The sequence below is a fragment of the Homo sapiens genome, chromosome 4 (genome assembly GCF_000001405.40).
Source record: "Homo sapiens chromosome 4, GRCh38.p14 Primary Assembly".
Lineage (NCBI taxonomy): Eukaryota > Metazoa > Chordata > Mammalia > Primates > Hominidae > Homo > Homo sapiens.
The window spans coordinates 100,530,377-100,547,424 of record NC_000004.12 but is presented as its reverse complement, the minus strand read 5'-3'; the positions used below and the strand labels follow the sequence as shown (position 1 = coordinate 100,547,424).

Below are 17,048 nucleotides of genomic sequence, written 5' to 3'. Positions count from 1 at the left end.
TGTAAGAGAAATATGTGTTATGGGAGATTGGGAGATATTGTTGTACCTATTTTCATTATCATTATTTTGGCAAATACGTCTGCCACAAACTTGAACAGATTCTTCACTAAAGAAGATATATAGAGGAATAAGCACACACACACACACACACACACACACACAAAGGTGTTTGGCATTATTCTTAAGCAGGGAAATGCATCATTTCACAAGCATACCATTTCATAGCCATTTCACATAGTTAAAATTAAAAAGACTGATAACACCACACTAAATGCTAGCAAGGATGTGGAGCAAATGAAATTCTAGCAAACACATGCAGCTGGTGAGACCATAACATGGTACAACTGCTTTGGAAAACTACTAATTTCTCAGAAAGTTAACAGCAATTCTAAACCTAGATATTTAGCTAAGAGAAATGAAGCACTGCCCACAAAAGGCTTGTATAAGAATATTCTTTTTATAGCTGCCTTATTCATAATAGCAAAAAACTATGAACAACCCAAACGTCCATCAACAGGAGAATGAACAAATTGTGGTATATTCATACCACACTAGTCACTAGTAAAAGGCAGCAAATTATTGATATGTACAATAGTATAAGGTTAATCTCAAAAGCATTATGTCAAGGAAAAGGATCTAGATGCAAAAAAAGTATATAATGTTTGCTTCTATTTGTATTAAGTTCAGGAATAAGCAAAACTATCTATAGTGATAGAAATTAAAACAGCAGTTGCCTAGGGGCTAAAAATTAATTTGAGAGGATAAGAGAGAGATTTCTGGGGTGATGAACATGTTTTATATTTCAATCAGAGTAGCAATTATCTGATATACACAACACATTCTTCAAAAGTTATGCATTTTATTACATGTAAATTTTACCTCAGTAAAACAGTATTAAAATGCATTAATTTGTACACATATTTGTGTTTCAATATTTGTGTTATAGTAAAAAACACTTTAAAGAAAATTTGAGATTGATAATCGAGATTTCTTAAGAAAAAAATGTGCAAGGTATCTGTCCTGCCTGTGACCCTGACAACCTCTAACCCTGTTTACAGAGATATGTGGAAGCTCTTGGGTTATTCTTGGCTCTTTTGTATGACTTGAACTTGCTTTTGAACACCTGCTCTCTGAACTCTGAACTCAGCTCTTCAACACCAAGTACATCCCTTGACATAGAAATCTCAGTTCACTAACATGCCACTTTTCGAACTTTAATGTACCTGAGAATCTTATCAAATTACAGATTCCAACTCAGGAATCTGGGGTGGGATCTGAGAGTCTGTACTTCTAACAGCTCCTAGGTGATGCTGCAGTTGTTGGTCCATGATGGACTGCGTGTGGAGTTGCAAAACTCTGGCGCACACTGATGTTGCCTTCATCTCTCACTGTCGCTGCCCTGTGCTGTCTCAGGCAGTAATCTTCCCCAATTTCTGACACCTAAAGGAAAAATGATGTTACCACCCATGAGACCACAAGTCCAACAGAAGTGGGTTATTTAACCACTGTCCACACAGAAAGTATGTATTTCATTTCCCTGTGGAATAAACTTTTCCACTTCTGTTAATTTTCCAAGTAACTGAAATTAACTCTAATATATATTTAATATTATTTTTCTGCATCTAAGTCTTTGGAAGACTCACTGTGCCTCCCTGAAATCTTAAACAGAGAGTACTAAGAATGATGGAATCTTTTGTTATTAACTCAGGGACATTATAAGGCAGTAATGCAGGAATGCCCTCTGGAGAGATTGAGATCTGTGTATCCCTGCCTAAGCAGGTCCTAGACTGCAGTGCTTTCTGCACTCTTGTGTGCTTTTGGAAATTATTGTTTTCTTTATTCCCTGACAGACTCTCAGCTGTTAGCTTTTATTAGACCTCAGCCTGCCCGGCTTTACCGGGCATCATTCGCTCTTCTAATTGCCATTTCAATTCAATTAAACAAATTTAAAATGAATAACCAAGCAACGGTTCATACCTTTGTTTACAACAAAAGCGAAAAGACTGAAAGAGTCCATAGAGTTTCCTGCTTTAGTAACATGTAGGAGCTTTAGTGTCTACCTTTCACTAATTTGGTTAACTTAGTGGCCAATGTTTTTTTTTTTTATTACAGGATATGTTATACAATAATCTTTGTCCATGTTTGGTTTATCAACGGCTTACAATGGAATCAGCTGTGGTGCTTATTAAAATGTAAAATTCTAGGGCTTTAGCTTTACAGATGCTCGTACATTAAACCTGGGGGATTCTGCATTTAGCAAACACTTCAGGAATTCCTGTGCTCAGAAAATTCGAAAAAAAAAAAAAAGAGAGAAAAAAACCCAACACTGTTCCTGTGTGAATGCCATTAACCTGTTGAAGATCATGTGACTTTCCTTAAGTTCTCATAAGAATTTCTCCTTTATCTTTGGTCTTCTCAATTATAGCTAGGTCTAACTTTCTATGCTGCAATAGAAAACTTGTTTGTCTCAATTAGGAAGCTTCTTATCACTTAATGACTCAAACTTTTCCATTTCTTGGGAGTGGAAAATTAGATGGAAATGTACTAACTTACATATCAGGACTCCAAGTCTGATCTGTTGACCCTCCAAACTTAAATGCTGCCTGAATAGAACATCTAAAGCTGCAAATTCACATGTCTCTCAACAAATAACAAGTTTTTCCTAAGTGAAAAAAAAAACAGATATATAAGTTAAGGTCTGAATTTACGTTCATGTTGTTGATACAAAAACAATTTCTTTTGTTCAAAATATATCTCATATATATAACAATAATGCCCATGTGAATTTTTTAAATCCCTCTAAAAGTGGCTTATCATTAGTTTTTGTCTGTCTAAAGATTCATAAGACATAAAAAGAAGTCCAAGCTTTTGTCTAAGGTAGAACACAAGACAGAAAATACATGTCTAGAAAAAATTCTGGTGTAAAAAACACCCCACCTCATATCTGTACTCTAGCAAATGAGAAATGTGAAAGCAGAAAACTACATATTCCTGGTCACTACCCTCAACCTAATGTCTTGTGTTGCCTAAATATCTTAGCACATATTACCAGGCACCTGGCTGTCCCACTCTCCACAATTATTCATTCATTCAACAAGTATTTACTAAGGTAGTATGAGCCAGGCATTATGCTAGCTGCTAAGGACATCTTACTGAAAAAAAAAAAATAGATTAGAAGCTCTTTCCTTGAGGAGCTTTACATTCTAGTGGGAAAGACAGACAATAAGACAAAAAATTAAAGTATATATGATAGGTAATTATAAGTGCTAAGAAGAAAATAGTATAGAAGAGAAGGAGATAGAAAATATTGGTAGGGCAGTTGAGTGTGGCCAGAAAAGGCTTCTCTAAGAGGCAACTTTTGAGCAAACCTGAAAGAGCTGTAGAAACCAGCCTCCTGGGTGTCTTGAGAAAGAGTCCTCTATCCCAGGCAGAGGAAGTAGTAGGTGCAACAGCACTGAGATCATGAGCGGTGTTTTCATGGAAGTTTGGAGCTGAGTAAACAAGGGGAAGAGAAGTAGACGAGCTCAAAGAGGAGGCAGATAGGGACAGAATTGAATAGTGTAGTGCCATGCAGGTCTTAATAAGAATTGTTTGGTTCTTACTGAGCAAGATGTGAAGTCATTGGTGTGTCTGAGCACAGTGATATGATCTGACTCGAATTTAATGGAATCAGTCTACTACTGTGTTGAGAATAGATTGGAGAAAGACAAGGGCAGAAGCAATATGAATGGGTGGCAGGATATTACAAGAACTTAGGCTATACATGAAATGATTTCCAATTTTTCTTACTGTTGCCAAATTCCCAAAATGCCCTTCTTCCAATTACTCTTCACTGCTAGTACAGTCCACCGCAAACTGAACATCTTCAAATCTGCAACTGCATTCAACCTCTCTTCCTTTCCTCTTATCACGATAGAATAAATTATCCTCTTTAATGAAAGATAGACAGTAAAATATACTGAGTGAGAATATTTGCTCTAGAAACAGAAGCTTGATGTATAATAATTTCTCTTCCACCTAAATTGTGTGACTTGGGAAAATTCCTTAGAAGTTTTGTGTCTCAGTTTCTTCATCTGCAACATGAAGACAACGGTAAGAATTACTTCAGAAGATGGTGTGAGGACCAAAATGAAGAAAAAATTTCCATCATTGTGAAGAGATCCTGGCACATAATTAAAGCTCAGAAAAACTAGTTTTACTTTCCACGCATGCTAGGGAGCCTCTGCCTCCTCCTTACTTGAAAACCTTACCCCAGTGATAATTCTCCCCTTCTCCTGCATCCTAACTAGATTCCTCCTAACATTTCCTCCTAACTAGATTCTTCTCATCAGTAATTGGACATGCTCACCTCTTCCCCGCTTTAAGAAAAAGAAAAAAGGGCTCCCTGAATCCACCTTTTTTTACCTCAGGTTTACTATAAACTAGAAAGCCTCATACCAAGATGAAAGTGTTGATGTCTTGTTTAAGAGGGAAAAAATGAGAAAAGGAAGAATGTAAAGCAATACTAAATGAGATGTTACCAAATAGCTACCCCTTCTCATGAAAGCTCTAAGGTGTACATCAGTTGCTCAACAGATGTAATTGCTTGACATTTGCAATTTTTTCCAGGCAGGCTGCAAGAAGAAAATGTGACCCTAGTAGTCCCAGGCAGAAAGAAAGGTGAGGAAATTGATTTGCCTAACTCCCTGCTAGCTCTTGTTTTCTATTGAGCAGTGTGTAGCCCTCGAGGAGTTCACTTCTCCCCTGTTTCGAATTTTGTGGTCTGGTACTGTTGGATGTCAGATTCCACACTGGACTCTGTCAGTGTGGTTATGATTCCTCCAAGCTCAGAAATGGCAAGAGAAGCCAAAAAATTGAGGGGTGCAGCTTGTCAGCTTGGCTGCATAAAAAGTAGACACAATGGAGGGCTCGGTGTTCCCAGGGCAAGTTGAACCCAGATGTGAACCTGTGTTGGCCAAACACAATTGGTTGTCCTGCACTGGGGCCAATGGTCTGGGAGGCAGGTGGTGCCACAGGAATATGAAGAGCCACATAATATGTACAACTAACTGATAGTACCTACAGCTGCTACAGCCCTATAGCCTTCTCAGTTTTACTACTACCTCTTCAACTCTTTTCAAGCTTCTTGAAAGGATTGTCTACATAATGTTTCTTCATCTTTATATCCTGTTAACTCTAAAATTTGCTTCCCACACTAACTCTAACCCTTTATTCCATAGCTTCCAGTACAGTGATCAATGATCTTCATGGCCCTACATCCAATAACACTTTTTAATCCTCATCTTATTTGACTTTTCAGAATCATTTGATGTAAATTGACAATTTTCTTCCCTAGGCAATTTCTGTCTTTGTCTTTCAAGACAGAAACTTCTGATTTTCCTCCTATCTTTCTGCTTGCTGTTTTTATGTATTGTCCCATACTGTGATTTTTTTAAGTGATAGGGATCCTCCAGGCTGGACTTAGTCTTTCTTTACTTCTCTCTGTACATGCTCTTCTTTGATATCTTATCTATTCCATGGCTTTAACTGCCATGTATAATCTAGAGCTGCCCCCACTAAAATCTTTGACCTCACCTTTTCTTCTGAGCCCCATTCCATCTGTTGGTAGGCTTTTTTTTTTTTTTGAGACAGGTTCTTGCTCTGTCTCCCAGGCTGGAGTCCAGTGGCAGTGTGATCACAGCTCAATACAGTCTTGACCTCCTGGGCTCATGTGACCCTCCCATCCCAGCCTCCTGAGATGATGGAACCACAGGTGCACACCCCACACCTGGGTAATTTTTAAATAATATTTAAATAAATACAGGGTTTTGCAGGGTCTTGCATATACAGGGTTTTGCAGCCTATGTTGCCCAGGCAGGTCTAGAACTCCTGGGCTCAAGTGATCCTACTGCCTCAGCCTTCCAAAATGTTGGGATTACAGATGTCAGCTACTATGCCTGGCCTTGACAGACTATTTTTATTTGGTGTTTTTATAGACACCCCAAACTCAACATGCTCAAACTTTAATCCATATTCTACCCCACAAAGCAGCAACTCCTGTAGTTTCTTTTTTTCATAGACAACCCTGTAACTCATTTGATCATTCACACAAGACATTTGAGAATTATCTTTGACTCCCATCCCTATCTCAGTTTCCCATCTCCTATTCATGACTGATCCACTCCAAAAGAGTTTCCATGTCCCAGAAATCCTTTCTTCATCTTTTCCTATACTTTCCAGATAAACTTCTCAAAAATGTTCTCTTATTCTTGAAATCTACATTTCCTCAGGTTAGTCCTCAATCTTCTAATCATGCATCAACCCATCCCGTATGACTTTTGCTCACATCACCTGTTTGGAACAGCCTGCCATCACGCCACAACCTCCATGTGGCTAAATCCAAAGAGAAACTTAAAGGTCTCATGTTACTTAGCCTTGTAATAGCATTCGATAGTATGGGTGTCTCCACTCTTCTTGAGACATTTTCTTTCCTTTTCTCTGTCAAGAGATTTTAACCTCATCTTTTTGGATTTTCCTTTTGTCTGTGTAGTAGATTCCTCATTCTTTACCCAGCAATTAAATGTTGGGATTACTGTTAGCCCTCCATATCTGCAGATTCCACATCTGTGGATTCAACCACACATTAAAAATATTCCACACATACAAAAGCAATATAAAGTAATAATACAATAATTAAAAATAATACAAATAAATAACAATACAGTGTAACAATGTTTTACCTAGCATTTACATTGTATTATGTATTATAAGCAATATAGAATTGAAGTATACAGGAGGATGTGCATGAGTTCTATGCAAATACTATGCCTTTTTATATCAGAGACTCGAACATCTGTGGATTTTGGTATCCATGGAGGGGGACCTGGGATCAATTTTCTGTGAATACCAAAGGATAACTGTCTTCTATGCCCTTTTTCTCTGGGCAATTTTATCCATCCTATTACTTTAAATGACAATGTATACACAAGGTATACTAAGCTTGCATCTCCAGCACATACTTTTCCACTTACTTTCAGATAGAATGCAGGTGCCTATTTGCATCTCTTCTTGAATAGCTCAAGAGAGCCTAAACCTCAACATCTGCAAAGCCAAACTTATGAGCTCCTCCTGAAACCTTGTCAGTTTTTTTGTTCTTTACCACTGTAAATGACACTGCTATTCTCTGAATTTTGTAAGGCAGAAACTTAGCAACATTTCACTCTTCCTCAATCCTTAATTGAATCCTTCACCAAGTGCTCTCAATATTACCTTCCAAGTTTCCCCCTAATTTATTCATTTCTCTTCATATGTACTACCTTCACTCTAGTTCAAGTTTTCTATCATTTTGTGCCTGGAATTTTTCAGTAACTTTTTTACTAGACTCCCACATTTGCTCTTACCTCGGTCAAATCCATTCTCAATACAGGAGACTGGGTGATCTTGTCAAAACGCAAATCTGTTCCTATGCTCTTATCATAGAGGCTTATATTCTTAACATAGCCCACAAACCCTTACCTCATCCTCCTCAACTTCCTTTGCAGCCTTATCTCACCCTGTGTGTCTGTCATTGCACTAACTTTCCAGACACATTGGCCTCCCTTCTGTACCTTGTCCCTTCCGTGTTACTTCTTGCCACAAGACCTTTGTGGGTTTTCTTCCTGTCTGGAGTGGTCATCCCCGTTTCCTTTCAGCCCCAGTTACTTTGACTTGTTAACTCTTGAATATCCTTCAAATTGAAATGTAATTGTCACTTTTCCAGGAAAGCCCTGACATATCTTCCTAACTGGATAAAATCTTTCACTTATACAAATTCTACTAAATCAAATTTTCAAATAATATTTTGTCATAGCATATCAAATAGAGTTTAAAATGGACAATTACTGTGCATACTTGATTAATATCTTTTTCCAGCCCCAATCCAACCAAACTTCTCATGAATATTGCCAGCCTCATGAGAAGAACTTTGCTGGTGCTCACCATTTTGTCCCTAGTGCCTAGAACAATAATGAACATATAATAGACTGTTAAGATATGCTGGATAAACAAATGAATGAAAGTATATAGAATATTCCTTAGGGGCTTCTCTCTTTTTGAAGATTTAGATATTACTGAAAACTTCAAAATATGGATGACTCGAATGTCCTCTACACAATCCCAGTGAAATTACTATACTGGTTAAAAGCTGAGCTCCAAAGTTAGGTTGCCTGTATTCAAACTGGCTTTGCCACCTAATATTTGTGATCTCTGCAAATTACTTAACCTTTCTAAACCTCCATTTCTGATAAATGAAGATAACTATACTATGGCCCACAAACTCTGTGAGGATAAGATGAAGACATGCAAGTAAGTAGCTCAGCACAGCCTGTCACATAGAAACTGCTAATTAAATGGTAGCTGTTGTAATTACTGACCTGATTTCCTCAAGCTTCCTTCCTTTTCTATTCATGGATCTTTGTGAGCTATTTGTAGTGCATCTTCTCAGTGAACTTGGTGGAAAATACACCTCTTGCACCTTTCACGAGAAATCTAGTCCCATTAAACTTATTCTCATTTTTGTAGTTTTACTGAAGATGTGTGTTTTCACAGAGAGTTGCCTAGAGTCCAAGGTAGCCTACCCTCTCTTTGGCCTTCGCTGCACTTCTTCTCTTCTCTAAACCACCAGTCTATACTTAATTGCTTTCCCCAGGCTCCCCCATGAACAGATGTCTGTGATTTACAGTCTAGTTTTCTTTCAGCAACTTCTCCCATAAGGAACAGCCTTGTTAGTTTCATTTGTTTACCTCTTTTTGCTAAGGATTATGGTAAAGAAGTGTTTCCCTTCTCACAACACCAGCAACTCACTCCCCTGCCTAGAAGTCTTTTCTGAAATCTCTTGGCCCTTAATATAAAGCTCAAGGCAGGTTACATGACCTGGCTCATGCTAGTCTTTCTGATCTCATATTGTGCTACCACCCTCCTGCTCATTTCTCTGTAGCCACAATGACCTATTTTTCTCTGCCTTGAGTGCAATGAGATTTTGCTGTTTCAAGTCCTTCACAATTTCCCAACTCTCTCCCGTTGCCTGTTTAAGACTCAATCATCCTCTGGGTCTGGATTTAATATCTATTCCTCAGAGAAGTCTCAATTACTAGAATTGATTTCCCTTGTTATATAGTTTCATTGCATAATATACATTTCTCTAATAACTCATCACAACTGTAATTAAATAATTTTTAACAATTGTTTATAACTATATTTCTATATTTTAATTAAATAGTTACATATTGTTACTTAAATAAGAAAGGTGTATGTCTGCCCTGTTCATTGTTTCATACTTACTTCCTTAGAGTCCAGTTAATGAGGTCATAATTGGTATTCAACAGATATTTGCTGAATGAATGATGATTTAATCTTTACATACTATTGCAATTTTTTTGGCTTTAGTTTTTCATAGCATTCCCAAATTATTCAAAAGTCTGAAATCTATTTCTTTTTTAAATTTATTTTTATTTTTAATTTTTGTGGGACATACTAGGTATATATATTTACGGGGTGCATGAGATGTTTTGATACAGACATGCAATGTGAAATGAACATATCATGGAGAATGGGGTATCCGTTCCCTCAAGCATTTGTCCTTTGAGTTACAAATAATATAATTGCATGCCTTAAGTTATTTAAAAATGTACAATTAAGTTATTATTGACTATAGTCACTCTGTTGTGCTATCAAATAGTAGGTCTTATTCATTCTTTCTAACTGTTGTTTTGTATGTATTATTCATCCCCACCTCCCCGCAATCCCACCACTTTATTTCCCAACTTCTAGGAACCATCCTTCTACTCTCTACGTTCATCAGTTCAATTGTTTTGATTTTTAGATCCCACAAATAAGTGAGAACATGCAAGGTTTGTCTTTCTGTGTCTGGCTTATTTCACTTAATAATCTCCAATTCCATCCATGTTGTTACAAATGACTGGATTTCATTCTTTCTTATGGCTGAATAATACCACATTGTATATATGTGCCACATTTTCTTTATCCTGTCATTTGTTGATGGACACTAAGTTTGCTTCCAAATCTTAGCTCTTGTCAACAGTGCTACAACAAACTTAGGAGTGCAGGAATCTCTTTGATACACTTATTTCCTTTCTTTTGGGTATATATCAACAGTGGGATTGCTGGATAATATCATACCTCAATTTTTAGTTTTCTGAGGAACCTCCAAACTGTTCTCCATAGTGGTTGTACTAATTTACATTCCCTTCACTGTAGTTTTTATTTGCATTTCTCTGATGATCACCTTTTCATATGTCTTTTTTCCATTTGTATGTCCTCTTTTGAGAAATGGCTATTCAAATGTTTTGCCCATTTTTTAAAAATCAGATTACTAAATTTTTTTTCCTATAGAGTTGTTTGAGCTCCTTATATGTTCTGGTTATTAATCCTTTCTCAGATGGGTAGTTCGCAAATATTTTCTCCCATTTTGTGGCTCATTTCTTCACTTTATTGGTTGCTTACTTTGCTGTGCAGAAGTTTTTTAACTTGATGTGATGCCATTTGTTCATTTTTGCTTTGGTTGGCTGTGCTTGTGGGGTACTGCTTAAGAAATTTTTTGTCCAGACCAACCAATGTCCTGGAGATTTTCCCCAATGTTTTCTTGTAGCAGTTTCATAGTTTGAGGTCTTAGATTTGTCTTTAGTCCATTTTGATTTGATTTTGTAAATGGTGATAGAAAAAGGTCAAGTTTCATTCTTTGTATCTGTATATCCAGTTTTCCCAACATCATTTATTGAGGAGACAGTATTTTCTCCAGTGTATGTTCTTGGCACCTTCATCAAAAATGAGCTCACATTAAGTGTGTGGATTTGTTTTTGGGTTCTCTATTCTGTTCCATTGGTCTACATGTCTGTTTTTATGCCAGTACCATGCTGTTTTGGTTACTATAGCTCTGTAGTGTAATTTGAAGTCAGGTAGTATGATTCCTCCAGTTTAGTTCTTTTTGCTTAGGAGAGCTTTGGCTATTCTGGGTCTTCTGTGGTTTCACATACATTTTAGGACTTTTTTTTCTATTTCTGTGAAGAATGTCATTGGTATTTTTACAGGGATTGCATTGAATTTGTAGATTGCTTTGGGTAGTATAGATATTTTAACAATATTGATTTTTCCAATCCACAAACATGGAATATTTTTCCATTTTTTGGTGTCCTCTTCAATTTCTTTCATCAGTGTTTCACAGTTTTCATTATGGTGATCTTTCACTCCTTGGTTAATTCCTAAGTATTTAATTTTATATGTGGCTATTGTAAATGGGATTACTTTGTTATTTCATTTTCACATTGTACACTGTTGGCATTTAAAAATGATACTGATTTTTGTATGTTGATTTTGCATCCTACAACTTTACTAAATTTGTTATCAGTTTTAATAGTTTTCTTGCAGAGTCTTTAGGTTTTTTCAAATATAAGATTATATTTGAACCCCCTCAGTGTCCTACCCCTCTGTGGCCATGCTGGTACCTAAGGTGCTAGACAAAATTTCCTTTACTTTTCCCTCTGCTTTTCTCAAGCAGAATGAGTTTTGCCCTGTAGCCAACCTAGTGGGTAATGTGCTGAGTCTCACCTGAAGACAGCAAGTCTCAGAGGCTCATCCAAGGCCCTTGATGTACTACCTGGGTATCACTGCTGGTTATTCAGGGTGCAAGGACTCTTCAATTAGCAGGTAATGACTGCTGGAGACACTGTGTCCTTTCCTTCAAAGCAGTAGGCTCCTTTCTGGCCCAAGGTGTGTCTAGAAATGTCATCTGAGACCTAGAGGGCCTGGAATGGAGGCCTCATGACTTTTATCAGTGTCCTGTCTTGCTGTGGCTGAGCTGGTATCCAAGATGCAAGACAAAGTCCTCCCCACTCTTTCCTTTTCTCTCTTCAAGCAGAAGGAAGAGGTCTTTTCTGAAGCCATGAGCTGTGCAGCCTGGGTGTAGACGAGGAGAGATGGCAGCACTCCCTTGGCTGCCATAGCTGTTGTCTCAGTATGTTGCATGTCCCGCCAGTCTCCTGTCTTTGGGCCTCGTTCAGCACTAGGACCCAACTAAGATTTGCAGTCCTTATGGCCTAGATTGCCTTTCAAATTTACTTGAAGACAGAGAGTGCTGTAGCCCTCTGTGGCAAGGTTTGTAGGTACTCAAGTTCTAACTGCTGGGATTCATGATTCTCCTCTAGCTAGGGCTGGTTTAAATGTTCCCTCTGTGCATGGGCATCAGTTGAGTTTGGTCTGCTTTTCCTTTTTGCTCCAACAGAACGGCACTGAGTTCAATGCCTCACAATTGCCGCGTTATCCCTCCCCCAGTGCCCAGAGAAGCTCTCTGCACCATGCCACTGTTGTTGCCTTGGCTGGGGAAGGGATGGCATTTGAAATTCAGGAGTGTTTTTTCTATTTTTTCAGTGAATCTTTCAGCAATATGAAGTTATAAAACCAGGTACTACGAGGGCTCATCTGATTTTTGGTTCTTAGGAAGGTGTTTTTTTTCTGTGTTGATAGTTGTTAAATTGGTGGCTTTGTGGCAGGAGACGAGAGGGGGTAGGGAGGGGATGCTTGGTGTAGCCTTCTATTCTGCCATCTTGCTCCACCTCTCCATCTATTTCTTAAGCCCTGAGTTTAATTTGGGATGCTGAACTTGAATCCATTGTTACTATAGTCCTGCTGTCTCTTGTCAGAGTGCTGGAGAGGGCATAGGAGTGGACCAAGGGCAAAGAGGCTGGTACAGAGCCTGACACTGACCTGCTTAGCTTCCAAGACTTCAGTGTGAATATCGAACTAAATGAGAACTTTTCAAGTTTCTTTTACTGTAAAAGCACCCAGCCAAACGACTTCTCTTTGTTTTATAGATAGTGTACAAAAAAATAAAATCATCATTAGTTTTGTAGATTTACTTATATGATTTATTCATCTGATCAAGAGGTTTCTTTTCTATGGTTTTCCCAGAGAGAACTGAACGTTTTTTTCCTGAGTGGTTTTGAGTTGTTTTACTAGTTAGCGTCTGCAGCATAAATAATCAGAGACAACTTCTCAGGAATATAAGAGGAGTTTAAAGATTGTTCTCAGACACACAAAGCAGATAAGCATTGTTTAGAGACATAGGGTCTTGAGAAGAGCGTACTTTCCCAGTTGATTTGGTGTCAATAAAATAGAAGTATTTGCCTTTTTGAAGAAACAAGAAAATAAAACCCACTTCAGACTTCTCTTTGTAAGGGTGATTGATCTCCTATGTAAATTATAACGTTGAATGTTGCGAATGTCTGTTCTGTTCTCTAAAGTACGAAAAGACTAGACAGGTTCTGTATTTGTGTGTGTTGTATGTGCCTGTGTGTGTAAGAGAGAATGAAAGATTGAGAGGCAGAGACTTGATATGGTTTAATGCTACTCTATACAGTTTTGGCGACTTTTGTTCAGAGCCACATTAAATTTCATTTGAATATTTTAGACATTTTAATATACTCTACTTAGCCCTCCTAGGAAGGACAAAAAAAAGAATTTATGGGGCCTGAAGCTTATAAAATGTGATGGTCATTTTTCATGGAAAAGACATAGGGTATAAAAGTAATCATTCATGTAGAACAAGAGAAAATAGCACAGCAAATCACATATTTTAAATGCCCACAAAGGTCATACAAACATCCTTCTCTAATTTATTTTCTGCTTGTTTTGGCTTTGTAATATTTGATCACTATTTCACATGACAAAGATTTTGTAAAACCACTTTCTACCACTTTTTTAAAACTTTCTCTTTTCTACAGGGAAAAGAGAAAGTCTTTCTCAAGATGGAGTAAACAAAATTTGAGTTACATTACATGCAGTTGGAATGTTGAAACTTACTTCTTCATACACATGTATGCTTGCTTTTTGTACTACTGACAAGAAATAGAGGCAACATGATAAATTCTGTTTCTCATTCGTTTCATCAAAAATGAAAAAAGTTACATTGCATTGCATACTTGAATATATGGCATTTTTAAGTGTTTTCCTGACAAAAGAGAACAAAGGAAGCCACATGCTCTGCTTATAAGTTGATGAAACCAATGATTAGAAGAATTATCCACAAACTAGCATATGATTCTACACATTTCAAACTTTTTTTGCTTCCACAGCCCATAGAATCCCAGTACCAACAACCGTAAAACACATTTATATTACAATCAGACAACTGGTCTTACTCATTTACACACAAAGCAAGTGCTGTCAGTGCAGTAAGAAGTAGACATGTCCCTGAAAGTGCTAGTAGTACACTGTAACAGTTAGCCATAACTTAATGAGACATAGAGGTGACTATATACCACATAATTTTATACCACCAAATCCTAACTAAATTTCCCAACTCAATTTCCCCTTAGCCATATACCCATAATATCCACTTCTTATGCTACCCAGCAGAAGAATGGCGACAGTGGAGAAAGCGAAAGTAATCTTAACTGATTTCGTTAAAGGCATCTTCATTTTGCAAATCTTACAGAAAAAAAATAAAAACAATGTATGACTCCATGAATACATTGCTAGGTCCCACCAGATGACCTCAGAATGAGCAAATGCAAGTGAAAGACTCAAGCCTAAATTTCATGAGCTTTGTGGTAATTCTGTCTTTGCCCCCAGATCTGCCTCTGGTGAAGTCTCATCCATTGATGTATGTTTTTTTCTTACAGAATTTATACTAGGAGAGGCCACTGTGGTGGAGAGGGAGTCTGGCTTCCATTAGAGTGAACTTCTTAAAAAGCCATTAGTCTGAGCCTCGTATTTTGTCTCCTAGATCTTTTGTCTATTGGAAGGTCAAGGGGAAAGTGAATTTATACTTGTTATAGCAGGTGCTTTTATTTTTCATTATGTTCATCATGAAAAAATTCATTGAAGGGGATGGACTCTAATATTCCTTTTTGGGAATTTAGGTTATTTTCTGAGCACAAAATGATAGCTAGCATAAGAACATGTCTGAAAAAATGCAAAAGAATGTATTTCAGTAAGCTATGAGTCTTTTTCATATCCTCAATGATAATGTCTCCCTAATGTTTGTGTTTCTGTTCTATATGTAATCCTTGTCCTCCAGACATCTCAGATTATTGTAATCATCAGTAAATAACTTCATTCTGTAACACAACTGCTAATGTCAACCTCAAGACTAACTATGAACAAGTTCCCCAAAGCACATATTTTCCCCAAAGCACATATTTTACTGCATCAACTCTGGGCTTAGCAAAATAGCTGTTTGTAGTTGGTGAGGCTTTGTTTTCTCTATCAAATAAAATCACTAAGCCAGCATATAAGCAAACAGAAACATTCCCTTTTATTTTATCTTCATTGACATTTTGACACTTACCAATGAGATAGAAAAGATGTATGCAGGGCAAGGCTGAAGTCCAAGGGGGATGAACCTCTTTATTTTGGATCAGATCTCGAATGTCCAACATGGGTTGAAATATCTTCAGGAAAACCATGTTGATTCTCATCAAGTGCAAAGTGTTTCATTCCCTTAGCTGTTGATTGACAAGTCTTGGGTTCTACATAGAATTCTCACTCAGTAAACAGTAGGGAAAACAAATAAAAGAAATGAAATACACATTACACACACACACACACACACATACACACACACACAAACTATAGCTGTGCTTCCACAACCTTAGCATGCATAGGAATTATCTGAGTGAGCCTCTTAATAATATAAATTTTTGGACCTATTTTTTTAGATTTTGACTGTCTAGTCCATACTTAAAACCTATGCTTATTCTTTAACAAGCATTCATGGTGATTTTTATGTTTGTGATTCACCGCCACACTTAGAAAATCACTCTGCTGCAGTATTTTCAAGCTTATATTTACAAACTAGGACTCTTTTGATGGCTATTACTCAGTCAGTACCACATCAGCTTAGAGACCAATACATTAACCAGTCCTAACATATAGGCAGTAAGTGTTTTCCTTCTCGCTTTCCACATCTAAAAGTTCTTTCTAGTTTTTATTTTTTTGTTTTGTTTTGTTTCTAGTGTTATAATACATTTAAATTTTTAAAAATACTGAAGTAAGATATTTTTTCAGATGCTAACATGGAATATTAGAATAAGAAATTGGTGTGTATAAATTTTGCTGTTTTAAATGACTGTCAGACATCCTTCTAAATCACACAGTTATAATTTTTCTCTTTTCTTGATTCTCCTCAATATACTATAAATCGTCCTCCAAAAATCACACTCAAGAGCAAGCAAGCAATCAGTGGAACAAAACAGCCATGAAGATCAACTGTGTTCAGCCAATTGTGGAAATTTGGTATAAATTAAAACACCATTAAAACAGTTCTCAGAAATTCACAGCTAACTAGTTCAACATCAATATCAGTTACAGACGTTCCAGGATCTAATCTTGGAAGTGCAGAACGAGAAGTCTACAAAGAGAAATTTTTGGACAAAGTACGTGATTGTATTGTAAGAGTAGTGTACTCACTGCATAGAGCCATGGTTATTGTAAGAATGTTGTAACTGTTATTTGTCATTCCTTACAACATGAAACAAGCTCCCACTAAATATATCTGTAAGTGTTAACAAGAGTATGAAATAAAACCCATCATTCTTTAGAAATAAAAGATTTAACAAGTCAGAATTTTAATGGAATGGCATTTAAAGAACAAAATAAACATTAATCACTGGGAGACTATCAATGTTTATAAAAACAAAAAAAAGGAATACTAAGGAAAAATATAAACTTTTTCATTAAATTTCAGACATTAGGGCTTAGCAAGCCCTCCTTGACCTTTATGATAATTACTTTGGGATTCCGTTTCAAGATGGCCAAATAGGAACAGCTCTGGACTTCGGCTCCCAGCACAATCAACACAGAAGATGGGTGATTTCTACATTTCAAACTGAGCCTCTGCTGGTGATACCCAGGCAAACAGGGTCTGGAGTGGACCTCCAGCAAACTCTGACAGACTTGCAGCTGAGGGACCTAACTGTTAGAAGGAAAACTAACAAACAGAAAGGAATAGCATCAACACCAACAAAAAGGACGACCACACCAAAACCCCATCTGTAGGTCACCAACGTCAAAGACCA

At 37.2% G+C, this 17,048-nt stretch overlaps 1 long non-coding RNA gene across 1 annotated transcript; it reads right to left on the bottom strand.

The window, feature by feature from the left end:
* Nucleotides 1-842: 842 nt before the first annotated feature.
* LOC105377345 (uncharacterized) lies at nucleotides 843-15,595 on the bottom strand. Its single transcript, XR_939023.3, has 3 exons — nucleotides 15,320-15,595; nucleotides 2,554-2,662; nucleotides 843-1,440 (listed from the first exon to the last, which is right to left on the bottom strand). It is a non-coding gene; the product is annotated as an uncharacterized LOC105377345 (long non-coding RNA).
* Between the last annotated feature and the right edge of the window lie 1,453 nt (nucleotides 15,596-17,048).